This window comes from Homo sapiens, chromosome 3 (genome assembly GCF_000001405.40).
Source record: "Homo sapiens chromosome 3, GRCh38.p14 Primary Assembly".
Taxonomy (NCBI): Eukaryota; Metazoa; Chordata; class Mammalia; order Primates; family Hominidae; genus Homo; species Homo sapiens.
Window position 1 is genome coordinate 12,955,890 of NC_000003.12, and position 24,833 is coordinate 12,980,722.

The 24,833-nt window shown below is 52.0% G+C and overlaps 1 protein-coding gene across 32 annotated transcripts in view, besides 7 other annotated features; it reads right to left on the bottom strand.

Annotated features, from left to right (window-relative positions):
* IQSEC1 (IQ motif and Sec7 domain ArfGEF 1) overlaps window positions 1-24,833 on the bottom strand; it is a 386,215-nt gene that overhangs the window by 58,847 nt on the left and 302,535 nt on the right. For 5 of the 32 annotated variants that reach the window (XM_047449356.1, XM_047449343.1, XM_047449355.1 and 2 more), the window contains exon 1: window positions 11,498-11,841. The exons of the other annotated variants lie outside the window; for them this stretch is intronic. In XM_047449356.1, coding sequence (XP_047305312.1) covers window positions 11,498-11,562 — 65 coding nt within the window. In that variant the 5' untranslated portion in view covers window positions 11,563-11,841. Of the gene's footprint in view, window positions 1-11,497; window positions 11,842-24,833 lie in introns of those variants that run through there. 32 annotated transcript variants of the gene reach the window in all.
* Window positions 2,314-2,814: an enhancer, noted in NCBI's record as "H3K4me1 hESC enhancer chr3:12999703-13000203 (GRCh37/hg19 assembly coordinates)". NCBI's record gives its function as "activates a minimal SCP1, AML or CMV promoter by ChIP-STARR-seq in primed H9 embryonic stem cells {active_cell/tissue: H9 hESC(primed)}" and the evidence as "EXISTENCE:reporter gene assay evidence [ECO:0000049][PMID:30033119]".
* Window positions 4,192-4,241: an enhancer, noted in NCBI's record as "active region_19460". NCBI's record gives its function as "activates an Ori minimal core promoter by ATAC-STARR-seq in GM12878 lymphoblastoid cells {active_cell/tissue: GM12878}" and the evidence as "EXISTENCE:reporter gene assay evidence [ECO:0000049][PMID:35858748]".
* Window positions 4,362-4,441: an enhancer, noted in NCBI's record as "active region_19461". NCBI's record gives its function as "activates an Ori minimal core promoter by ATAC-STARR-seq in GM12878 lymphoblastoid cells {active_cell/tissue: GM12878}" and the evidence as "EXISTENCE:reporter gene assay evidence [ECO:0000049][PMID:35858748]".
* Window positions 11,565-11,614: a silencer, noted in NCBI's record as "silent region_14074". NCBI's record gives its function as "represses an Ori minimal core promoter by ATAC-STARR-seq in GM12878 lymphoblastoid cells {active_cell/tissue: GM12878}" and the evidence as "EXISTENCE:reporter gene assay evidence [ECO:0000049][PMID:35858748]".
* Window positions 11,725-12,144: a silencer, noted in NCBI's record as "silent region_14075". NCBI's record gives its function as "represses an Ori minimal core promoter by ATAC-STARR-seq in GM12878 lymphoblastoid cells {active_cell/tissue: GM12878}" and the evidence as "EXISTENCE:reporter gene assay evidence [ECO:0000049][PMID:35858748]".
* Window positions 12,295-12,374: an enhancer, noted in NCBI's record as "active region_19462". NCBI's record gives its function as "activates an Ori minimal core promoter by ATAC-STARR-seq in GM12878 lymphoblastoid cells {active_cell/tissue: GM12878}" and the evidence as "EXISTENCE:reporter gene assay evidence [ECO:0000049][PMID:35858748]".
* Window positions 23,161-24,360: an enhancer, noted in NCBI's record as "CDK7 strongly-dependent group 2 enhancer chr3:13020550-13021749 (GRCh37/hg19 assembly coordinates)". NCBI's record gives its function as "activates an origin of replication core promoter dependent on BRD2, BRD4, P300/CBP, MED14 and CDK7 cofactors, with strong dependence on CDK7, by STARR-seq in HCT116 cells {active_cell/tissue: HCT116}" and the evidence as "EXISTENCE:reporter gene assay evidence [ECO:0000049][PMID:35650434]".

The following is a 24,833-nucleotide window of genomic DNA, read 5'->3' on the forward strand; positions in this document are numbered from 1 at the left end:
GTTCACGAGGTCTCCAATAGAGACTGGCAGCCCCTGGCCCAACTTGGTCCACAAAACATGCTCTCTGTGGCCCAAACAGTGTTTCAAAAACTAGAACGAATCACTAACATTTCAGCAACTTAAGATTTTATATGAAAATCTAAGTTTCGGACTCATCTTGGGGACCTGACCACCCTGGGTCCATATTCCCACTTGATAACAGTCAGACAAAGCGAGGTGGCAGCCGCATCCATCAGACAGCACATGTTCTGTCACCACCAAAGTCCCCACCACTGCCACAGTCCCCACCACTCCTTATCGCCCACCCACACCTGGGCCACCCCTTCTCTTCCTGCCTATTGACGGCATCCATGTTTGCCTATGATGCTTACACAGGACCAAAATTCAAGGCCCAACGCAAAGAACAGAACTAGGATCTACAGTTTGGGACCAGTTGTTCCCAAGAAACCTAATTTAGAACACCAATTCCCGAGAGGCAGGGTTCAAGAACTCCCACAGCTCTGCATGGCTGGTGGGAACACCAAGGCCTTCTGCTCCACTGGGTCCTGTGAGTGTGTGGTTTTTACAAGGCTCTAGCAAATTAATACCGTCGCAGTGACCACAATCCACAATCCCATGGTCATCATAACCACCAAGCCTCAATTCACCAGACGCCCTCGTTCCTAAGTTTCCTAGGGTTAGAATATAATTTTCAAAGCCATCTGATACCTGGTGTTTATTCCAAAACTGGATTCTAAGAGGATGTTCTTGGGTTCAAATTCAAGCTGTTCCCACCCTCGGCAGCCCCCTCTGTCCACCTGTGAGAATGCCAACCTGAGTTTGGAGGAATGCCCAATGGCTCCAGAAGCGTCCCTGGGGAGTGTGGGGGGAGCTCTACGTGCAATCGGGAGACCAGGTCTCTCTACAGCTCCCCTACTTCCAGGCTGAGTGGCCCCAGGCAAGTGCCCTCCACTCTCTGGGCTTCTGTGGTCTCATCTTCACAACGGGTGTCACTCCTGCTCCGCTTGCCCAACGGGAGCGTGGGAATCGAGGGAAGACACACTTTACCAACTGTAAATCCCACGTGGAGCTGTTTCTGCTCTGTGCCATCAGCCAGAGAGGAAAGGCTCAACGCCCTTAACTCCTCAAGTCTTGTGGCTGGGCTTGTCCAGGTCAGAAAGAGGGACATCAGGAGAAGTGTTCCCCAGCCCAGCGCCAAATTAAGCCCTGAGGGATCAGGAAACGAGATACGTCCATCTCTGTGCCTGCATAGAGGGCTTTATGCTTCCAAAGGCCTCCTTCCTTCCACTCTGCCACAGCTTACCTGGTCTCAAGATACAAAGTTTACAAGACTGCTTCCCTTGCCATGACCTCATCTGCATGGCCTCACCTTCTCCCCTTGTTCCTTTACTTTCTTCATTAACCATTCCTATAGCCTGCCCTCTGCCAGACGCTTGTCCCTGGCTAAGAAGGGTGGTTCTTGTTGGTTCTGAGTGCACGGAGATGACCAGAAGCTTCCAACCCCTGGGCTCACTCGGAAAGATTTTTCAGAATATACACACGCACAGAGCCAAAAATCTTCCCGGCTGAGCCAAATTAAATACAGAGGCCTCTAGTTATTTCCATACGCACCAAATGGACTTAAATAAAGCAGTTCTCTGTGGCAGGCTCCAGCAGAGAGAGCTAGGCTGGGCCCCAGGGACACCCCAGGAGAGCCAGGCTGGAGGCACAGGCTGGGGAGGCTGGCTCTGGACAGGGTGTGGACAGAGAGGAGGAGACAGATGCCCATCGCGCAGAAGGCCTTCCTCATGGCCCGCCCTGCCAGCCAGGGCCTGTGGTGGGGCCATCTTGGCCCAGACAATCTTGGTCTTTTTTAGGTGCATAGCAAAACTGAAAGGAAAGTATGGCATTCCCATGTACCCACTGCCCCAACACAGGCACAGCCACTATCAACATCCACACTAGAGTGGCACGTTTTTACAGTCCATGAACTACGGTGACACATCATCATCACCAGGGTCCACAGTCTACATTCGGCTCCACACTTGGTGTTGTAAACAGCAACCTTTTGAAGCAGGTACTATATCATCTTCCCATTTTGTGGATGAAGAAACTAAGGCACAGAGAGTTGATGTAATTTACCCAAGGCCGCGTGACTCACAAAGAAAGTGAGGAGGGGTGAGGCTGGCTGAGGCCCCGGGACACCTCCCTGCCTGTCATGTTCTTACCTCTGTGGGGCCAGCCCACCACCCTATCTAACCATCGAGCTCCCCCTGCCCTTGCAGGACCTGGTGCAGGTGCTGCCCAGACCTGCAGCACGGCAGCTGCCAGGCCCCACAGCAAGTCAGCAATCTGCCCACAGCACCCAGCACAGGGGCACAGAAAGGGTCTTGGGGACAAATGAAGGCTGGGGGTAGGAAACACTATCCCCCTCAACCTCCCCTACCTACAACATTGGCACACAGAGCTCTTCCCCGGCAACTGTCTGGTACCCAGCAGGCAGGAGCTGTGTGGCCCTGGGCAAATGACTTGGCCTCTCTGTGTCTGTTTCTCAGTCATAAAATGGGAGTATTGTCCACCCAGCAGGGCTGCTGTGAGGGCCATATAATAACACACACAAAATCCTCAGCCTGGGGCCTGTCACCCAGGAAAAGCAGAGAGTAGCTGCTGCCACTGTCACGATTTAAGACTGTTATCACGTCGCTGCACTGCATGGTGCCATGGGTGCTAGAGGGAGGTGAGCTGGCCAAAGAGGAAGAGGTCTGAAGGAACATAGACCATCTGATTCCACACTAGCACCCATACCTGGGGAGCACGAGGGGTGCCTGGCTGGGATGTGGCCATGCCTAGGGTGTGACTTTGGCTTGTTTTGGCTTCTAAGCCAACTAAGCTGGGTTGGGGGCACTCTATGTACCAAGCACTGTGCTAGGAGCTAGGGTAGCAAACACACTCATACTGAGGACAGTGGCTGAAATGTGTTAGCACTTGCTACATGCCAGGCTCTAAGCCCAGCACTGTGGGGTGGCACAGCACCGGGTGATGATGACAAAGGTGAGTAAAGGTGACGGGAGCTGTCTAGGATGACTTTGGTATTCTGAGTGAAGCCCAAGAGGATCAGATGATGTCATGGAAGAGAAGCCAATTTGGGGAGAGGGAGATAATATGTGTCCTTTGGAACTTACAGATTTGCAGGTGCCCATGAGACCCCTAGAGAGGGTTGCTGGGTGGGTGGCAGGATGTCAGGGCCTGGGCAGGAGCCAGATCAGAAACCCCAGGAAGGAAAAGACTGTGTGAAGTAGAGAAGGAAAGAGGGCTGGGCAGAGGCCCAGGGACCCCCAGTGCTGAATGGCCACCCAGGGGCCCAGCAAGACGAGGGGCTGACAGGCCTGGGAGGGTGGCAGGGGCGCAGCCTGGCTACACGTCCTGGCAAGGGGAAAGCCAGGGCAACAGGGAGACCCTGCGGAGCTTGAAGCTGAGAGCCACAATACCATCCAGGGGACCCCCAATCCGATGAGAGAGGCTGACAGCCCATTCCACACCCCGCCCTCCAGAGGTCCTAGGCAGATGGAAGAGAAGCGAGTTCTCCTACCCTGACCCAGGAAGGCCCTGTCTGATGGAGGAGTCACGGGCCTAGCCTCTCCCAGTCACTTCCAGACACAGGGCATCCCAAATGGGTCAGACACCACTTGGTCACCAGGCTGGGAAACTGGCTCAAGCTCAGAGTTCCCGAGTTGGGCCAACAGAGCTAAGGGCTGTTCAAGAGACACTGTGGCCTGCCCCAAGCACCCGCCCCAGTGACATGACTTTTCCAAGGCTAGAAATGAGGCCAACCATGAGACAGGTCCTTGATATAAAATCAACAAAACGTCTGGGATTAAAACTAATCTCGAGCAATGAAATAAAACTGCACATAGGGATCATTATACCATTCTACTTTTGTACGTTGCACATTTTACATAACAAAAAGCTAAAAATAACGCTAAGACTCTGCTATCACATCAAGGTCCATTATCTTCTTGGGCCATTTTGCCATTTTTACGAAGCACAAACAAAAAATCTCAAACCCTGCTCATTTAAATGACGGCTCTGAGAACAGTCAATGGCCCAGAGGGAACAGAGAATTCACGTTCCTGCGACCGCACCTCCCCCTCCCCCAGCAGCAGAGGAAAGAGCTGCTTCCCCAAACACTTCCTCTCCACCCTACCCTCACCCCATGGAAATAGCGGCACTGCAATGGTATAACGATGACGGCTGGAGAGAATAGCAGTGCAGTGGGTAGGGGTCATCACAGCAGCTGCCATTTACTGAACACCTACTAGGTGCCGGGCGCTACTCCAGCCTCTCTTTCCCATCATCTCGGGTGGACAGTCGTCCTGATCCTGTCAGGAATCTGAGGATCGTTCTTAGCCCAGATGACTTCCTGGGGCTGGCGAACATGTTTTTGAGATTGTAGGCACTGGGTAGAGCTTCCAAGGATTCTCCTTCCACTCTGCTGATGGTAGTGCACCTCTGTAGCCATCCACGGTGGCTGTACAGGGAACCCAATGCTGCCACTGGAGTGCGCACAGCTGGGGCCTGCAGGTTTTGTCTCTCCGGCTCCTCCTTGGCCCCCTGCTCCTCCCTGCCTCTGCCTCAGGCTGCATTCTAACAAGCTGCTCCCCAGCAATGCCAGGGAGGGGAAAGAGGGTCCATGCATTTACCAGAGGACCAGGTCTATATTCTGCAGAGCTTGAATTCGTCATTTTCATTTTCTAGCCATTCTTTCCTCATCTGTCAAATGAGAATAATGCCAGTGATTTCACAAGGTTCTTGGTTCCAATCAGACAGGTATGTGTGAAGTTCAAAGGCCATCCAAATGCCAGTATCATCATTTTCATTCTGTAGCCTGTTCTAGCCCCAGTCTCAATCTTGTGCCAACTTAAGACCCACCAAAAACAGTTGAGGCTTTGCCCAAACCCAGCTGACTCCCCTTCCCCTTCCTGCCGGCACGCATAGTCACCTGTTTTGTGTCTACCCACACTGCCTCTCCCTCCATTGTTCCCATTTGACAGGCAAGGAGGCAGCAGCTTGCAGTGGGGACCACCTTGCCCTGGCCACACATCCAGGAAAGGGCAGAAACAGGATCCAAGTTTCTCCAGCTCCAGATGGCACCTCTGCCCACTGCAGCAAGCTGCCTCCCCTCCCAGGCAGACAGACCAGCTGAAGAGGACAGAGCAGCAGAACCAGGGACTGAAGGCCACTGCCCCTGAGGCCAGGCTCTGCAGCTTTGGGCCTTATTAGGCTCCAGAAGCAGCCCCAGGTACCACCAGGAAGCCAGACCTGCCCAAAGCCTCAGAAGCTCAGCACAGGCCACCAGCTGAGGGCTCCAGACGCACCACAGCTCTGCTCCATCTGACACAGGGCTGGGGGCCTCTACCTTGATGTCCTAACACCTCAGGGTGTCTCACACATGGTGCAGGCCATTTGCCCATTCCTATCTAAAGAAATCTTCATCCCAGCCCAACTGCAAGCTGCCTTACTTTGCAATTTCCCCAATCCACAGGCAAAGCGATTTTCTTAATACCCTTAACCATCCACTTCTTTGTGGGCTGTTTGGACAGCACGCTACAAGCACAAGCTAAAGTCCATGGGCTTAGTCACTTCTTACTGTGTCTGCCATCTGTCATACCACCAACAGCCTGCAGCCCTTTAGCCCTTTAACTTCTTCCCCTCACCACTATCTCTCTGCACCCCTCTCTTTTAACCCTGGTCCTGTCTGTGTGCCAAAAAGATAAACAATCCACTCCCATCTAGGAACACATCTCCCCAAACAAGTAATACGGTCCAGTTCCACACAGTCAAACTTCTCGGGCCTAAAACATCAGCTAAAGGATGCCATGTTTCTGGTGCTGACTATGCACTGTTGAAGCACTCACATGGATTCATTCATTTAATCCTCACAACAACTCCATGGCCTCCTCCTGTCATCCATCTTTTACCAATGGGGAAACTGAGGCACAGAAAGGCTAAGGAAGGTGCCCAAGATCATAGGGACAATGAGGAGCAGAGCTGGCTTTAGAGTTGGAGTTAGAGTTACAGGTAGTCTGACTACAGAATCTGCCTCCCTAACCATTGGGCTAAACATCCTGCATCTGCAAATGACTACAAGGATCAAGAGGCTCATTCTTCTTCTCACAGATGTGGAAACTGAGGCCCAGGGAGGGATGGGATGAGATGGGTGACTGACGCCAGGGCTCTAGGGAGGCAGACGACCAACGGTCAATCAGGGCCAGTTCTGGACAGGCCTTTCTGAAAGGTTTCCTCTCTCAGGATGGGAGACCTTTGAGCTTAAGGGCAGCCAGAATAAGGACAACAATGATCACAACTAACATCTACCGGGCCCTTGCTATGTTACTATGAGACACCGTTTAATTGCTTTACATGTATTCATGCATCTCATGATTATACCACCTACCCTCCCAGCCAGAAATAGAAAAGCAAACACCACTGGCTTCTGTAAATGGCATCAGGGAGAAAGTATTCATGTTGGCAGACAGACTCTGATCCGGTCTGGGCAGCAGGGGATTTTGGGAGAACCCTTCCAGTTTGTGTGAATGAGGAGGACTCCTCCCAGCTGGGGACTCGTTCCAATTCTTCCAGTTTATTAATGATCCCTCTCCCCTCCCATGGGATCCAGTTCAGCACCCACACACCTGTGTGTCCTCTAGTGATTCAAAAGCCCTAGCCTTGGGTTTCCTCACCATGCAGAAGCCTGTCATGTTCGCATGGGTCCCTCAGTGAGTTAGGGGACAGTCAGTTTTAGTCCTCAGGACCCTGCTCCAAGCAGAGTCTTGGCCTGGGGCTGCGCACAGCACACAAGCATGCTACCCTCAAGAGCCTGCAAGTGCAAAGGACACTGTCCCAGAATCCTGCCGGAGAGTCTGGGGATGCAGCTCTTGGGTTCTGTGGGGAAAGAGACAAGATGCCAGGAAGGCCCGGTGAGTGGTCATCAACCAGCTTGTGGGCTGAGACTTCTGAGAACATGTTGGGAATCCTGATACCTGGGGATACCAGACATCTGTTGTGGCAGTATAGGGAAGAAGCAAAAGGCTCCATTCATGGTGGTGACATATTTTGCCAAAGATTATTTAATCCCAGAGGAAGCAGAGCCTGGCCATGAAGTACACAGACCCTGAAGCCAGGCAGGCGGAGTTCAAACGCTAACTCTAGCACTCTAGCAACTTTAGCACTAAATGGCAACTGTTGCTATTACTATTACTACTGAGCTTTGAACAAAGAGGAAAAAACAAATGCAGTCACAGTGTCTCATCTTTAGAAACAGGGAGGGGACGCTTGCTATGGTTCTCCATCGGGACCTTAAGTTCAAATCAAACTGTCACCATGTCAGGAAACTGCAAACCGAGGAGATAAAACGGAAAGAATGGGCATTTCCTCCAAGGAGCAGCGAAGCTGCAGGTACCTATGAACAAGGCAAAAAAGAAATTCAAGTCAGAGCAGCTGGGACCCCAAGAAGGAAGATTTCACAAAAAGCCACACAGGCTCTAGAAATCAGTCTTCAACCTCACAAACGAGCAAAAAAGAAAACTGTGAGGAATCATTTTAACTCAGCAACAATTTCACAAACGGGAAAAGGTGGTAATAATGATGATGGTGATAACAGCTACCATTTGTTGGGGATCTATCTGTATGCTTTGGTCACCAGGCAAAGCTGCACATCCCCCACCCCCTCCCCAGGGGTTTCTTTTGGCTCCATTTCATGGATGAGAAAATCAAGACTCAGAGATGGAAGGCAACATATCTGAGGCCACACAGCCAGGAAGAGGTGGAGTCAGGGTTTTGTGTGATCCCCAAGTCCTGTGCTCTGTGATGTACCATTTCACACTACTAACCTCAGTGCTTCTACATCTAGCCCAGGGCCTGGTACAAAGTTGGTGCTCAGTAAATGTTTGTTGTGTGCATAAAGGAACACAGGAAAGTGAAAAGCTGCGTGTCCCCTGGGTCATACACATCTCTCCAGAGAACAACGCACTCCTCCAAGCCCAAGACAGCATGTGTGCACTTGTTAACACCTGCATTTATGGATGCTTTCATTCACTGACAACTGGCTATGTCCGCCATGAGGCCAGGCGCTATGCTAGGCAGGCATCGGGGTACTAGCCACAGGGCCAGGACTTGGAGGGACACTTGCCCAATTCAGGGTACAGCCATGGCAGCCAGGATAGTGGCAGGTCCAGGTGGCATCATGCCATACTTCAACCATAAATGCCATCAATTTCCTCTCTGCAGCAGCTCATGCAGTGGGAGCAGCCAGATTCTCTAAGGCCATGCCAATTAATTCTTCAAGAGCCTTAATGGCCTCTAAACTCATTACAATTTGCTTTTGAGGACAAACAATAAATCACATTCAACAGCATTTGAGCATACTCCCCCTACACACACACACACACACACACACACATGCTTCCATGGGAGATCTCTCCCAAGGCCTCCGGTGGTGTTTGAGCCCATCTGGGCTGTGCATCATCTTGCCCCTGTGCTTACTGGGCGGATATTCCACATGTCATCATAATTCAAAGGAAATTTACAAAACAGGAAGCAAGAAAATCCAGCGGGTCATTGGTGCCTGGGAAGAGCAGAGTGCTGACCTGGACAAACATGGCATTTGACTGGAGTCCCGAGGATGGCCAGCTGTGCAGTGGCCTTCAGACATCCACATTCTCAGAGCACTCCATGAAGCAGTGTTATCATTCCCTTTCACAGAAGGGGAAACAGGCTTGGAGGGGTGTGGTAACTTGCATACACTCACGAAACTGAGCTGGGACTTGAAACAAAATCTGTTTGCCTCCCCAGGCCCTTCTTTCCTTAAGTCTCAAGCTGCCCTGGATTCCAGATTATCCTGGTAAACCAAGATTCCACAGTATGCAGAGTCCAGACAGATAAAACCGTATGCACACACAGATGCACACACATGCACACACACATATACTGAGCTCCTGCAGCCCTGGGTACCCTGTCCAATACTGTCCAGAAACATCTATTTGCCCAGTTGTCACACTGTTTGACTATGCAGCTGTCAGTCCTGTCCATGTTTTTGAACTGAAGCTGTGTAAATATTAGCGCAACCAGTTCATAGTCCGACTTCCTTGAGTGAAAGCCTGAAAATCCTAGCAGGGCTAGCCAGGGCCTCCAGAGGCCTCCATCACAACATTGGGGTTCTCCTGTAGGCTCCCCATGTGATATTCTGGCCCAGTCTCTGGGTTCTCTTAGTGTGTGTACCCTTAAAAAAACGAGGATAAGAAGAGTCCTGTGTTTCACAAGGCTCAAACAGCAAAGTGCCACACACGCTCTTGGAAAGAAGCCTGTTATTTGTAGAGTGGTGCATGGTGGCATGGCTGGACTTGGGAGTGGTTATCTTGGGCCCGTTACAGACTAAGGGGGGTCCCCTGAGGTTTCTGGACCGTGCTGCATCCCATCCGGGTTTAGAGAGGGGGAGACGGCCAGCTTAAAGGGCTCTGGCCCCTGGGAGCCAGCCCAAGGAGCATCTAGCTCTGCCTCCACAGGCCAAGGACTGGGTTGATTTCCTCTACCCCTCCCCCAAGCTTCCCATGGAACCACATACCAGGTGCTCCAGAGCAAATGGGATCCACCTGCTCTGAGGCTGATGCGTGAACTATGGGCTACACCTGAGCGAGGCTTCTCAACCTCCAAGACCTCTGCCTCATGTTCTGAGACTGGGGGAGCAGCTGTTCATCACCAACCCAGACCACAGAAGGATCCAAGCAGGCTTCCCTGAAGCTGGAAGATTGAGATGAGATGCCCGGAGGGACTTCTAATGAGAAGGGATGTGGGACTGAGAAGTATGCAAGAGAGGTGGCCTGGACATGTCAACTGGAATGGTCCTAATGGAGGGGCAGAAACCCCTCCCCAGTTACTTTCAGCTCAGAGGGAGGCGGGAGGTGCAGCCAGGAGAGCACGCTAATGGTTTCTTGTTCCCCACTAGACTGCTGGTTCCATGAGGACAAAGACTCCATGTTTTGTTCACTGCTGTGTCTCTGGTGCCTAGAGCAGGGACTGGTACATAGCAGGCACTCAATAAACCACAGAGCTTTAGTACTGACAAGACTGAATGCTCAGCCTCGATTTGCTCTCCTGCAATATGAGGATGCTGGTACCACAAGGGTAAGAAGCAATTGTAATACCAGGTGGGACAGCTGATGGACTATGAGGGCCGCGGGTGTGTGTGGGATATGAATAACATGACCCCCATGTCCAGACTGCTGCCACTGATTCCAGACAGATGGTCTTGCAGCTGCAGCATGCCTGGCCTCCACCCCAGATGCAAGGAGCAATGGGGTCCTTGAGAAGCCCCCCAACCCCACTTGGAGGCTCAGGCTCAGCGCTCCAGGCCTCTGGGGTGAGGAAGGGGCAGAGGGAGACATATGCATGTTCTCAGTGCAACTGCTGGACATGCGCTGCACAATTTTTGAACTGAAAGATCAAACAGCTCCAGGTGGGCTTCCTCCAGAGGGGGCCTGACATAAGCCAAGTCAGCTTGTCAACAAATCCCCTTAGCCCCACCCCCCTGCTCCTCAGAAGGGCCTGCAGATAGCTCAGGGGGCAGCTGTGCTGGCCATCGCAGAGAGGAAATCAATATTCCCAGCACATACACACACACTCCCTTTCTCCCTTTCTCTCCATAAACACGGGCCCTTGGAAGCTCAGACAGCCGCCCACAGGCCCCTAAGTAGAAAAGGGTTGGCCCCTCTGACACACCAGACTCCATCCCTGACCACACCAGGTGCACACGCATCACCACACAAAGCCCCTCACATCCACACTCTGCCACAAACAGCAGCCACACACCCCAGTGCACCCCCAAGTGGCCCTGCCAGGGGCAGAGTACCCGACAGAAGCTGCTGACACACCTGGGACGCCTGTTTGTTCAGGGTCATCCACCCTCACACACACTTGGGGTCTTGCAGACAGGACAGACACATCAATCCAGACATAGGCCCAATGTCTGGAATAGACAGGCCTGCAAGAGGCCTTCCTGGCAGCTCCGGCCCTGCCTGCAGTTGGAAACAGGCACAGACCCGCTGGGCACCCTCCCACCAACTCTCCGCTCTCCCTCCTGCCCCTCACCTCACACCCACACCGAGTCCCACTGTTTCCCTCTCAAGCCCCCAAACTCAAACTCACCCCCACACCAACTTGCACTCCAACAGGCCCTCGATCACACACACACACTCCCATCCTGAGACCCTCCCAGGGCACACACAGCGCTCCTGTCCCAAGGGCGCGTCTCTCTCTCCCACGCACAAACTCGGGTCCTGTTTGCTCTTCTCTCACCCAAACCCACAGTCTGGCGGACGCACCCCGCCCCGCAGGCAGCTTTCTCTCGCACGCCGGGCGCCCGGTCCCGACGGTCACCCGCACTCCCGCACAGGCATCCCCACAGCCTGCGCCAGCCCACCGCTCAGCACCCGGGAAGGCCGCTCGCCCCGCGCCGCGCCCTCACCCGCTGTCAAGCTCTAGCTCCAGAAGGGACTGGGTCCTCTCCGAGTTGCAGTGCAGGCACCACATGGCGGCCGCAGTGGGAGCGGGCCGGGCCGGGAGCCGGGACCCAGGCCCAGCAGAGGCCGCCGACTCCCGCCAGCGAGCCGCCGGATCCCGGGGCCGACACCCGGCCACCCGGAGACCCGACCACCCGCCACGCGATCACGTCGGGGCTCCTGGTCCAGCGTCCGCCGGCTCCCGCGGCTCCGGCCCCAAGTCCGAGCCCCAGGCCAGCCAAGCCCGCCCCTCCGCCGCCGCCCGCTTGGCGCAGCGCGAGGCCGGGCCGGAGGAATGTGGCCCTGAAGTGGGCGGGGCAGGGCGGGGGCGGGGCCGGAGGGCGAGCTGGGGGCGGGGCCGGAGGGCGAGCTGGGGGCGGGGCTGCGCGCGGGGGCGAGACTGCACGGAGCGTGTGGGGAAGAGAGCACAGGAGGCGTGGCCACACGGCGCCGCGGAAGAAGCACAGGGGGCGGGGGGTCAGGGGCGGGGCGTCAGGGGCGGGGCTACGCGCAGGGGCGGGGCCGAGCCGAGGCGCGGGGTGCAGAGCGCAAGGGCGGAGTCCCAGACACTGCATCCAGGTCCCAGCGCGCGAAGCCTCTGTTCTGGAAGGAGGACTTTGCGCAGCCCCTCCAACACTGGCGCCTCCCGGGAGCCATGTCTTCCTCTCCAGCGTGTAACCACAACAAATGCACAGCGCCAAACCCCCAACCAGAGCCTACTCCGCTGATGCCTACTCAACATCTGCCTATCCCGATTTTGCCTTCAGTTTATAAAACCTGGCCTTTGCCTGCCTGGACCGAACCGTGTGGTTCTGGGGCTCTGATGCGCCCCAGAGAAGGGAATGGGCCCTATCCTGAGGTTGGTACCACCCTTTTGGCGGCTTTTTGGGGGAAGATCTAATGGAAAGTTGCTTCTTTCTCCCTAAGCCCACCCAGCCCCCTACCCTTTCTCCACCCAGAGACACCCTTCAAGCACCTATGACAAGCTTAAAGTAATACTAATTAGCACTTTAGAGTTCTTTAGTGATAGTTGGCCTTCAAGGCAACATTGTGAAGTAGGTGGAGTTACCCCTGGCCTCATTTTACCAATGAGTAAACTGAGGCTCAGCTTAACTGGGCCAACTAAGAGACGGCTTCCCTCACTCTTTCCTCCTCTCCCAGGCTCTTCCTACTATGAGCGCTCATGGCTTGCAGTCCTCCATTTGTATGTTTACTTGTTTATTATCTGTCCTTGGGCTCCATGAAGGCAGATACAGTGCCCAGCGCCCACACCTGTGGAATGCCTAGACGTGGTTGGGAGACAGCAAGCAGATATGGAACAATCAAAACCCCACCTGTCCTGGGCCACCCACCTACAAGTCCATCTCCTGGAGGGCCAGGCAGCTGGCAGGCCTACGGGAGTCAGGAAGCTGCAAGAAGCCATCAAGGCAGGGGCATTGTCTTGTGCCCTTCTGAATCTTTCATTTGGAGGGGGACAGTGAAGGAAGGGGGCTGAGGTGGCCCAGCTTGCAGCAGAGGAGGGCAGCCCCTAAAGCCAGTTTAGAGCACCTGGGTTCCCAGGCAAGAAGCTGAGCAGGAGCCCAGTGCCCCTTATGCCAGTTTAGAGCACCTGGGTTCCGAGGCAAGAGGCTGAGCAGGAACCCAGTGCCCCTTCACTGCCCATCTCCACATTCCTCTTCTCAGCTTCCCATGTTTTCTTTGCTCTGTTAAAAATAAATGAAGACACAGAATGGGGGGAAATATTTGCAAATCATGTATCTAGTAAGGGTCTAGTGTCCATAGTACATAAAGAACGCTCACAATTCAAAAATAATAAGGCAAATAACCCAATTTAAAAACAGGCAAGGTATCTGAGTAGATTTTTCTCCAAAGACAATCTACAAGTGGCCAATAAGCCCATGAAAAGATGCTCTCAACCTCACTAATCTTTAGGGAACTGTAAATCAAGACCGCAATACCACCTCACACTCACAAGGAAGGCCATAATAAAAAAGATGGACAAAAGTACCTATACATAGAGGGTTCTGGAAGGAGAAGAACACTAGGCTGCACTGCTCAAAGACCACAGCCACATCTGGCATCTGTCATGGTTAGGGTAGGGGTAGGAAGCTGGGAGAGGATAGGGTACACATGACCCAGTTGATGGCAGAGGCAGCAGAAAACTCCCACCCCTGTCTGAAGTGCTCTCTAAAAATAGACTGCAATAAATGGAGCCAAAATAATTCCCCCAGCCCAGCTGCTGGAGCACTCTGGGCACGGTCTTTGACAGCCTCACCATCCGGATTGTCCAAGAATTTCAGGCACTTCTCCAGGCCCAGGGCCCTGCCGCCCAGCAGGATGGTCTTGGCGACATTGTCTCGGCTGGGATTTAGAAGGGGATTGAATTTCGCTGTTAGCATTTGGAATACCAGATGATGGACACTCTGGAAACCAAATGCATCTTGATTCTCTTGTTTTATCTTTCTGCAAAGTGTGCCTCTTGCTCCTGCTCCGCTAACTGCCTTGCAGATTAATAATTTAGGGAACTGTGAGCAGAAGCAAGAAAAGTTCCAGCCTAGAGAGGCAGAGAAGGCCAATTTTTCTGCAGAAATGACCAGACTGGTCAGAATCCTTGCATGCACCATTCAGGCAAATTGCTTAGTTTTCTGAGTCTCAGTTTCTGCAACTGTAAAGAGTGGCTTAGCAGCCACCTCTACCCCAGCTAATTCACCTTGCTGTTTAATTTAATTTAGCAAGCATTAATTAGTACTTACTCTGAGGCCTCAGTGGGGAAACACTGCTGTGACAAGTATTCCCCAGTATGGTGTCGTGACAGTGGAGGAAAGAGCTTGTAATTCTGCCCCAGGAGAGGCTCTAATGGGGGGACATTTTGGGTTGGACCTTGAGGGATGAGGAGGGCCCCATGTATGGGGTCACAGGATGTAAAAAGTCATGGAGACGTTTAGTTCCACTGTATCACCCCATGTTTTAGTCCTGAGCTGCTTGCCTTGGCCCATTTCACATGCTACAACCCGACTTTATCTCTATCCTCCCCAGCTTCTGATAGCCTCCAGTCTTTCCACAGCCTCCCTGCTTTCCTCCAGCCAGATGTGTGGCACTCTCCCAAAGCCCAGCCTTTGCAGCCCCTCTCTCCAAGCTGTCAGGATCAAGCCCAGCCTCCCTGCACAGCCAGCCTCGTGGCCTGGTTCATCTCTCCATCCCTTACCTCTCCTCCTGCCCACTCTATGCCTGCCACACCTCCAGCAACACTAAGCTTCTTTCAGTTCCCCACACTCCCCACTGTGCCTGGCTCACAGCTAGGACCTTGGTTTTCAGCTTCCTATGTCACTGCTCCCAGAAAGACACCCATGACCAGCGCCTAGTCCAAGTCAGAAACTCCTTTTACATGGCATCAGGTTACTCTGCACCTGCTTGCTTATACCAGTGAGCTGTATTCCAACTGCCAGGGCTGGTTCTATGTCCTTCCCTGCAGCAGCCCCTGTGCCGACAGTGGAGCCTGGTGCACAGAAGGTCTTCGACAGCTGAATACGCCAAAGGTTGGTAAACTATGGCCTGAGAGCCAAGTCCAGCCTGCTGCCTGTTTTTTTAAAATAAAGGTTTATTGGAACAGAGCCACGCTCATCCACTTATGTATTGTCAATGGCTTCTTCCATGCTATGATGATGAAGTTAAACAGTTACAACAGACACATGACCTGCAAAACATACAATATTAATGCGCACATGCAGCCCTTCTCTGAAATAAATGAAGCTCTCCTGAGGCAGTCTTACATTGGCTCCAACTACCCTGGCAAACCCCCTGCGTGTTCAGCCAGACACCCCATGCAAGAGCAGAATCCAAACATGGGGGAAGACAGTGACTGAAATGATAGGGCTGGGCCAGATGATCCTCAGATGAGATGGCCACAAGATGGGATGCACTGTTGGGAACGAATCCTACAGCGCCGCCTGCCCATGTGCACATAGAGGCATGCCCAAGGATATTAATTATTTGAAAAAGCAGAACTCGGGAGGAAACGTGCAATGCCTCTCAATGCAGACTGGTTAAGTAAATTGTATTACACCCATCAATGGAGTCCCATGTTAAAAAGATGGCAGCAGCATCTTGCATACTTATAGGAAAAGATCTGAGACACAACATTGTGATAGAAAGTCCAGAAAAATGTGAAGTGTATTTATAAAAGAATCTACAGAACACTAGTATGCTTATATAAGATTGTATAATCATAGATTACTTCTTAAAAGAGACCCAAGAGTGCCATTGCACTCCAGCCTGGGAGACAGAGCGAGACTCTGTACCCTCCTCCAACACCAAAAAAAATTTTTTAAACAAGTGTTTGTTACTTTTTAAAAACCCAGTTATGGGCCAGGTGTGGTGGCTCACCCAAAGTCAGGAGTTCGAGACCAGCCTGGCCAACATGGCGAAACCCCATCTCTACTAAAAATACAAAAATTAGCTGGGCGTGGTGGTGGGTGCCTGTAATCCCAGCTACTCAGGAGGCTGAGGCAGGAGAATCACTTGAACGCAGGAGGCAGAGGAGCCGAGATCGTGCCACTGCACTCCAGCCCTGGCAACAGGGTGAGACTCCATCTCAAAACAAACAAACAAACAAACAAACAAACAAAAACAAAAGGCCAGTTATGGATTGGACTGGAACCAATGCAATTTTTTTTTTTTTTTAATGTGCCAGTGAAGCCTGGGCAACATGTCAAAATCCCATCTCTACAAAAAAACAGAAAAAGTAGCTAGGCATGATGGCATGTGCCTGTAGTCGCAGCTACTCAGGAGGCTGAGGTGGGAGGATCACCCGAGTGTAGGAAGGTCAAGGCTGTGGTGAGCTGTTATTGTGCCACTGCACTCCTGCCTGGATGACAGACTGAGATCCTGTCACAAAAAAAAAAGCCAGTGAAATGAAGAAATCAAGGGACTGAAGGTCTTCTGACATCTTCTAGGAGGCTCTGAAGCCCACCAGAACTAGTCCACAAAGACCCCAAACGCTTGATGGTACTTAAGCCACCTCTTGGGCCACTCCAGGTTCCTCGTCTTTCAAGCAGGTTGTGTCTTACTGACAACCACAAAAATCGATAAGACTGGTGGTGTAGCACATTTTGAGCTTCTGCTCAGTGTCTGTTAACCACCACTATGTTACCATTCATCTTACGAAATGAGCATTCCCCCATCACAGCCAGAATGCTGGGTCTGCGAGGGAGCTCTGCGGCTGCCACTTAGCCCCAAATCCTCATTTTACAGACAGGGAAACTGAGGTCCAGAGAGGTGGAGGGATGTGCCCCAGAACTATAAACACTGACACTGACCCGAGGCTTCATGCCACACTGGCCACCACAATACAGCACCCAGCCTGGACAATACAGCATCCAGCCTGGGCGGGTGTGTTTTAAGACCATCATTCTCATCCAAATATGGAATAGAACCTATTCCTAAGACTGTTAGATGCAGTAAAAAGCCAGAGACAGCTGCATGGAACACAGCACTCTATAGAGTGGCACCTCAGGGAAGCCAGCCCATCCCCCAGAACAGAAATGTTTCCAGATAAATAAAGCTGTTCTTACCAAGTGCCAAATTATCTTTAAAATTCCAACCATTTTCCACAGAAACCACTTGTGAATTTGGGACGTGCCATATCTTACTAAACAAAGTAAACGGAATGAACTAGGGATTGCTGGAGGTGGTATAGGGTTGTCCACCCTGACCTAGGCTTCTGGCCCGGGTTTCCTACGTGACACTGAACTGCTCAGGCACCACACCTGCATTGTAATCCAGCTCCTGCCTGTCTTTTCAGCCTCATTCCCAGCTATGATCCCTGCAACGCAGCCACTCCCAGAATGCACCCTGCACTTCCCAGCCCCAGTGCCTTTGCTTATCCTGTTTCCACGTCCTGGGTTGTTGCTTCATTTGATTGGCAATCTCTTATTCAACCTTCAAAGCCCAGCTCAAATGTCCCCTTCTCTTTGAGGCCTCCCCTAATCCCTCTACCCCCAGGCAGAGCAAGAACCCCTTACTTAAGACTGTGGGCACCTCGACGGTAGGGAACATTGCGCTCCATGCACCTTCCTGGTGGTGGGGCCCAGACACTGCCATTGTCCTGTGTAACTGGCCTGGTTCCAGACAGCTACCACAGCCCTAGGGAAATTCATCCCAACTACAATGGTACTTGGGTTGGCCAAGACCCAACCATGACAGTAAGATTAAAGCAGCCTTACCCCATTTACCCTGATGTGATTATTAGGCATTGCATGCCTATATCAAAATATCTCATGTGACCCACAAATATATACACCTACTGTGTACCCACAAAAATTAAAAATTAAATAAACAAAGTGGCTTTAATGTTAAAGTCTGATGGAGCCACCAAGACCCAGTGCTGCCCACCCATTGTTCAGATGAGGCAGCTGAGGCTCACAGAAGCAGGGAGCACTTCCCCAGATCATGTGGGGACACATCCAAGAACTGGTTATCTGGCTTCCTTTCCCCAGCTCCTTCTGCACTGCTAAAACCTAAGACCCGTCGTGGTTTGAGGTGTCAGGAGGCTCTGTTTTCTTGTGGTCTTTAGATGAATAAAAATTAGACGCAGCTGTTATGGTGCCATTAGTTGACAAACGGACTCACCTGCTGAGGATGCATGGGAAAGACCCTGAGGGAAGGGCTGCAATAAAGAACCACTGCAGCTAGGCCACAGTGTCCCCCGCAAGGAGAAATGAAACCCAGCACGGGTACAGGTGGCTCTGCCAGGGCTCTGAGGAGCCTGGCACATGATGGGTGCTCAGTGGTTGGTGAGGGTTTTCTTTAGCACACAAAACAGCCAGGAATGGTCACCTCCTCCAAGAAGCCCTCCAAGCCCGGATCCCCAGAGCACTCCATGATTCTAGGTCCTCGGTGACCAATGTAACCCCTGCCACACAGGGAATGCTGGTCTGTTGTAAACGTGAAAGAAGGTGGTGAGAATATGCTTGCCGCATCCCTCATCAGTCTGGCTGCTCCTGTGGACACAACCCATCCCTCCTGGTCCCCCTGCAGAGCCTAGTTGGGTGAGCTGGACTGCCTCTCCCAAATCCAGGGGCAGGGCCCGCGAAGAACAGTCCTGTGGTGTCTTAAGGGCAGCTACTTGAGTTATGGGTCTCTATTCAAGTGGAAGGGAAATGGCCATTTGCCAGCCTTCCTGCAGGATTCAAGGGGCAAGACAACTTCAGGAGGAAATTCCACTGAGCTGCTGCCTCTATCGGTAGAGGACCGTTCCCTAAACTCCCCCCAACACACTGCTATCACCCTTCCCATTTAGGTGCCTGCCAGCCCCAGCTGACGATCAAAAATGCCCCCACTTCAGCCCTTCATACTCATCCCACCTTCCCTGGTAGGTGGCGCAGGGAGCCACAGCAGCACCCTCAGGGAGGGAGGACACTTATGCTGGGTGGGCTTGGCCCCCTGGGGCACAGCTCCTGGAACAGGGCTCCAGGCCCTTGCAGCTGTCGCCCCTGAGCTCTGTCCCCCGTGTCCACTCTCTGTGCCCCAGATAGAAGAGGCAGGCCTGTGGGCAGCAGGCCCAGCAGATATCCCAGCCCCGCTATGTGACCTCACACAGTTACTCTGCTTCCCAGGGCCTCAGCATCTTCAGCCTCAAAGTGGGGACAGTGCCACCTTCCTTTCAGGCGCAGTGTGAGGCTTGGCAATGACACCCATGACTGCCTAGCCAGGGCCAGGCACACGGCAGCCCTTCAGAGCCTGCAAGTTCCTCCCCTTGCTTCACTATGGCCCTGGCACCTTGTACGGGGGCAAAAGTGCAAGAGGAGCCAAGGTGTGTTGAGTGAGTAAGCACCTTTTCCAGCCATTGGCTGCGTCCCATAGTGGGGATGCTCATGGCTTACGGAGGCTCCATGTTCTGGAGCATGATCTTGAATCTTGGGCAAGTGGTTTGGTCTTCCTAAGCCTCCTTTCCCAACTCTCTGCCTCTTCTTGCCTCTTCCTGCAGCCTCCTCTCACAGGGCACACAGTCTGGACCAGGCACTTTACAGAAGTGTCCACACTTAATCCTCAACAACCTTCCATTTTACAGATACACTGAGACTCAGAGAGGTTGAATAACTTATGTAAGGCCACACAGCTAGTGCCTGGCTGGATCAGGGATTTGAGCCCAGGTCCATTTGGTCCCCAAACCATGAACTTAACCATGAAGCTCCACAGTCCCTCTTTCCCCATATCCAAGGTGCTTATTGAATGCAGGTTCTGTGCTAAATGCATGACAGGTTGTCTCATTTAAGCTTCACAATGGAACTCTAAGGTAGGGACTATTCTATCTTCTCATCCAGAAAAAGAAACCAAGGCTCAGAAAGATTAAAGAATTTGTTTAAGGGCAAACAGCTAGTGAGGGATGAGAACCCAGGACTGAGTCCCAAGTTCATTCTTACAACACTATTCCATCTGACCTTCAAGGCCCAGGAGGAAGACCTCTGCGGGAAGAAAGTCTCTGCCTTAGCTGATGTGTGAGTAACCAAAGCAACCTTGGCATCTGCCCCCCAACGGCTGCAGAGGCAGACTCCTGGCTCGGCTCCCTTCTTGGCTGTATAGCCTTGGGCGTCACTTCTCTGAGCCTCAGTTTCCTCCTCTGTGAAATGGAACTGAATAATCTATGTCTCTTAGGTTGCTGAAAAGAATTCAGTGAGCCATCCGGTGCTGGGCCTGAGCGGTGCTCTGCTTACACCCAGCCTGCTCCCTGAACCCCACTCCCAGAGTGTACACCACTCCCCGCTCCCTTTGCTGTACTCTCCTCCTGGGGTCTGCCCCTGGCCCTCTGGAAGGGAGTGACACTGGGGAAAAGCAGGAGGGGGGCAGCAGTGGCCGCCCCAGGAGGGACTCTGCCAGCCCTGCTGAGCACACCCCACAAGCCCAGGTGGGGTCACAGTGGGGAAGCGGTCCTTGCCTTTTCCCCACCTCTTCCCCGGCTGCCTGCGCCTCACCATTCCTCACTCAAGGAAGCACATCCTCCGGTGGAGCCAACACTCACAGGGTCCCTTACAGATCCCCCTGGGAGCCTGGGACCAGAGCAGAATTGGGTTCTGCAGCTTCCAAGCCCCACCCTCAGGCATAGAGTCTGGGAGACAGACCTCATACATGAAGGGCTCTACGACAATACATGTATGTTCTGTCACTTCTTCCTCGGGACCTTCCTGAACCTTCGTCCACATTCTCTCTGTCTCATCGATTCCCTTTAAAGCCCATCTCACAGTCCATCATTATCTGGCTTAATCACTTATGTACTCACTGTCACTTCCACCAGAAAGTAGCTCTGCAACTTTGTTCATTTGCCACTGTATCCCCTGCCGTCTATAGCAGGTGCTCAATAAATGTCTGCTGGACAGGTGAATCATGTTGATCCAGATTCACTCTAGTTCAGGGACCACCCACAGGGCTAAGGTAGGTCTCCTTCCCTCTCCCCATGCTTATCCTTGTCTCAATCTCAGCAATTCCCTGCACCCCACCCCTCTTTATACCATAGAGAGATTCTGGAAGGGCTGGAAAAATGGTTTTTCAAAATCACTGATTCTCATCTCTAGTGTGCTAGGAGAGCTCAGTATTTAAAGGAACCCATCAGCTAAAGATTTTATTTAAAAAGGAGGCGTCAGGCTGGGCACAGCAGCTCATACCTGTAATCCCAGCTGAGGGATTACAGGTGGGAGGCTGAGGCAGGCAGATTGCTTGAGCTCAGGAGTTAGAGACTAGCCTGGGCAACATGGCGAAACCTCATCTCTACTAAAAATATAAAAAATTAGCCGGGTGTGGTGGCACATGCCTGTGGTTCCAGCTACTAGGGAGGTTGAGGTGGGAGGATCAGCTGAGCCCAAGAGTTCAAGGCTGCAGTGAGCCATGATTGCACCACTGCACTCCAGCCTGGGCAACAGTATAAAATCCTGTCTCCAGGGAAAAAAAAAAAAAGCGCTATCCCGTTGGCAAAACGAATGGCCATCCTTGGTATACTTCGGTTTCTTTCCTGGTAGCTTTACCAAAACTGGGGCTTATCTGCATATGAAAATGGGTGGAGAAACTGAGGGAATCTAGAAAAAATACAGAGAGAAAGCTGCAAGGGCTTGCCCTCCTTCAGAACATCTCACCTGGATGTCACTGGCTTAGACACCGTGGCAGGGCCGGGGCTGCATTCCTGGTAGCTGTTGGGGAGACAGCCTGCTGCCTTTTATGTAGTGAGTTCACACCAAAGAACAGCTACCAAGGGAATGCAGGGCCTCTGCTGTAATGAATAGATACGTTCATTTATAATAAGTGCTGGGTTCACCTGTTTTGTAAATGGATGCCATTAAGTGCTCCTAAATCAACAGCGTCTCCTAAGTGAGTTAAACATCCCTTTTTGCAGTCATCTTTATGTTACTGATTTAAACAACACCTTCTTTTGTCCCAGTGGAAGGAAGACCTGACCCAACTCCACTGATTGAGAATTAATGGAGGCAGGACATGTGTGACGTGTGATTCACTGTTTGAATAAATCTGTCATTGAGAATGTGTGCATTCCTGAATGTGCTCAATAACTTCCCAGCATACCTTCCCACCTACTATGTGTTAGGCACTAGGCATCTCAGAGGCTGCAGATGTGGGCCCTGCCCTCAGGAAACTCGGTTGGGTAAGGGGAGTGAAAGTAATTCACAATTGGCGTCAACTACATTCCTGCATGAGTTCACATAATCCTGACAGAAATTCTACAAGGTGCGGATTGTTTTCTGATTTATCACAGAGGCCTTGAAGCCTAGAGAAGGTAAGTAATTTGCACTAAGACACACAGCCCATGTGATGAAGCTGGGATTAGAGCCCAGTAGGCTGACACTCAGCCTGTGTTCCTTGCACTCCAACAGTTGTCCTCAAAGTGGGGTCCTAGAAACAGCAGCAGCAGCAGCCTCAGCTGGGAATCATTTGAAATGCAAATTCCCACCCCCCAGATGACTGTAATACCTGCAGCAGTTTAAGAATCTTTGCACAGGGCCGGGCGCGGTGGCTCACACCTGTAATCCCAGCACTTTGGGAGACTGAGGCGGGCGGATCACATGGTCAGGAGTTCGAGACCAGCCTGGCCAATACGGTGAAACCCCGTCTCTACTAAAATAAAAAAAACTACAAAAATTAGCCGGGCGTGGGGCGGGTGCCTGTACTCCCAGCTACTCGGGAGGCTGAGGCAGGAGAATCACTTGAACCCTGGAGGTGGAGGTTGCAGTAAGCAGAGATTGCACCAGTGCACTCCAACCTGGGCAATAGAGCGAGGCTCAGTCTCAAAAAAAAAAATAAATAAATAAAAAAGAATCTTTGCACAACAGTAAGCCACTAAAGCCACTAAATGCAGTAATAGGAGCAACCTGGTAGACAGGCAGGAATGATTGCTAGCTGGTGGATTAGTCATTCAGGGAAGGCTTCCTGTAGGAGGTGATGCCTGTCTTGGGATTTGTGGCATGAATGGGAATTCACCGGGTGGCCCAGCAGGATAAAGGCATTGCAGGTACATGAAGTGGCAAGGGCAAAGGCTTGGTTAACTTGGAAAATATTCCTGTAGTTCTGCATCTACATGGGGCATGAAGTGTGGGGATGGGTGCGCTGTGGGGCATGAGGCCAGTGGACCGAGCAGGAGCTTCATCCTGTGAGGGTGTAAGCAGGAGTGGGAGTGACCTGGGTTTAGTTTTCCCAACAACCACATAGCACCTGTATACATTCCAATTACTTAACGCTCTTCATTCTATCAAGAAAACTTTATATCTGCTCCACAAGTGAAAAGCCAGCCTCACTAAGCATAAATTGAATTTTCCCATGAAAATAAATCAACAAAAACAAAATGCTGTTATAAACTCCTGCTTTGATCCTGTTATCAGCCCCATCCCTGAGGCCTGCTGTGTTTTGTTTACAACACAGATTAGCAAGCACAGAGAATCCACATGACAGGACGCCGCCAATAAAACAGAAGCATGCTTTTTATATCCTGATAGGGACTGAGATACAAGACATAGTGCTACATGAAAAAGGTAAGCTGAAGAATGCTGGATTTGGGTTACAAAAAAGGCGGACACATGCACGCAGCACGCGCACACACACACTCTAAGATGTCCCTGGACAGCGGTTGTCTCTGGGGAGGGGAATGGGACGTGGAAGGGCGTGGCGCATAGCTCACTGTGTACCCTTCTGTATGTTTAACTGTTGAACCATGACTGTATTACTCCCTATATAATCAATACATTGCATTAAGCCTTTGTGGGTGATAAAGAGACATTAAAGGTCTGTCAGCATGCCGACCCTCCTGTCTGATGTCATCAGAAGGGCGGAAAGAGCACCGGAAGGAGAACTCTCTCTCATGTTCCAGGTGGTATGCTCCATGTCACCAAGAGCTGAGCCTGTGCCTCACCCGGAATCGTTTCGCGGCCTGGATCTCATACTTCCTGAAACCCTGCTTGGTGGGTAACAAGGATCTAAGAATCCATTTTGCGCAACAAGAAACAGCATACTCAAGCGAGAAATGATTTCCCGACTACCTGAGGTGGGGGAAGGCAGCCTGGTGCCAGGGGCATGCAGCTGGAGGCCTCCACGTCCTGTTCCACTCTTCCTGGGAACAAGACTTGGCTGCTGCCCCACTGTGTGCCTCCTGAGCTGTGCAGAGAGAAGGAGAGGCGCTTGGGCCCAGGAGCACCTTCTGCACAGGGCAGGTGTAAGGGGCTGCACCTCTGTTATCTCCTGTAATGCTCCCACCACCCCTTCAAGTGGGCCCTCTTAGTCCATAGGAAACAGAGGCACAGAGGGGTTAAATGACTCACCTCCAGGCCACTCAGCTGGTGGTGGCAGAGCTGGGAATCCAACCTGTTTGCCCATGCACTGGTGACAAAGTCTAGGAGCCCCTGAGCCAAGTCAGCCTTTGGCTGGTACAAGAACCTGACCCCACGAACTAAAAGTCTTCAGTCTTGAGACCCAGACGGACCACTTCAGGCTCCTGGAGTTGATCCATGATGAGCATCCCTCATGCAACACAATCCACAGACAATTGTTTCTCTAGCAATTTCCATAAATAACTGTAATTTATGTGTTAATAGCAAAGATATCAAGGTTTGGAACCCCCTGGAGTGTTAGGAACATGATTTGTAACTACAAACACACAACAATTTGTTCAACATGCCAGCTACATCTTCAGTAATTACTACCCTGGTTAAGGATAATTCCACATTCAATGCCCTGCCATGCACGGGGAGGGGAGATCAGGAGGGAGGGGCTGGGATGGGACCTTGCCTGTGTTCCTCACTTCCTCGAGGCCCTTTC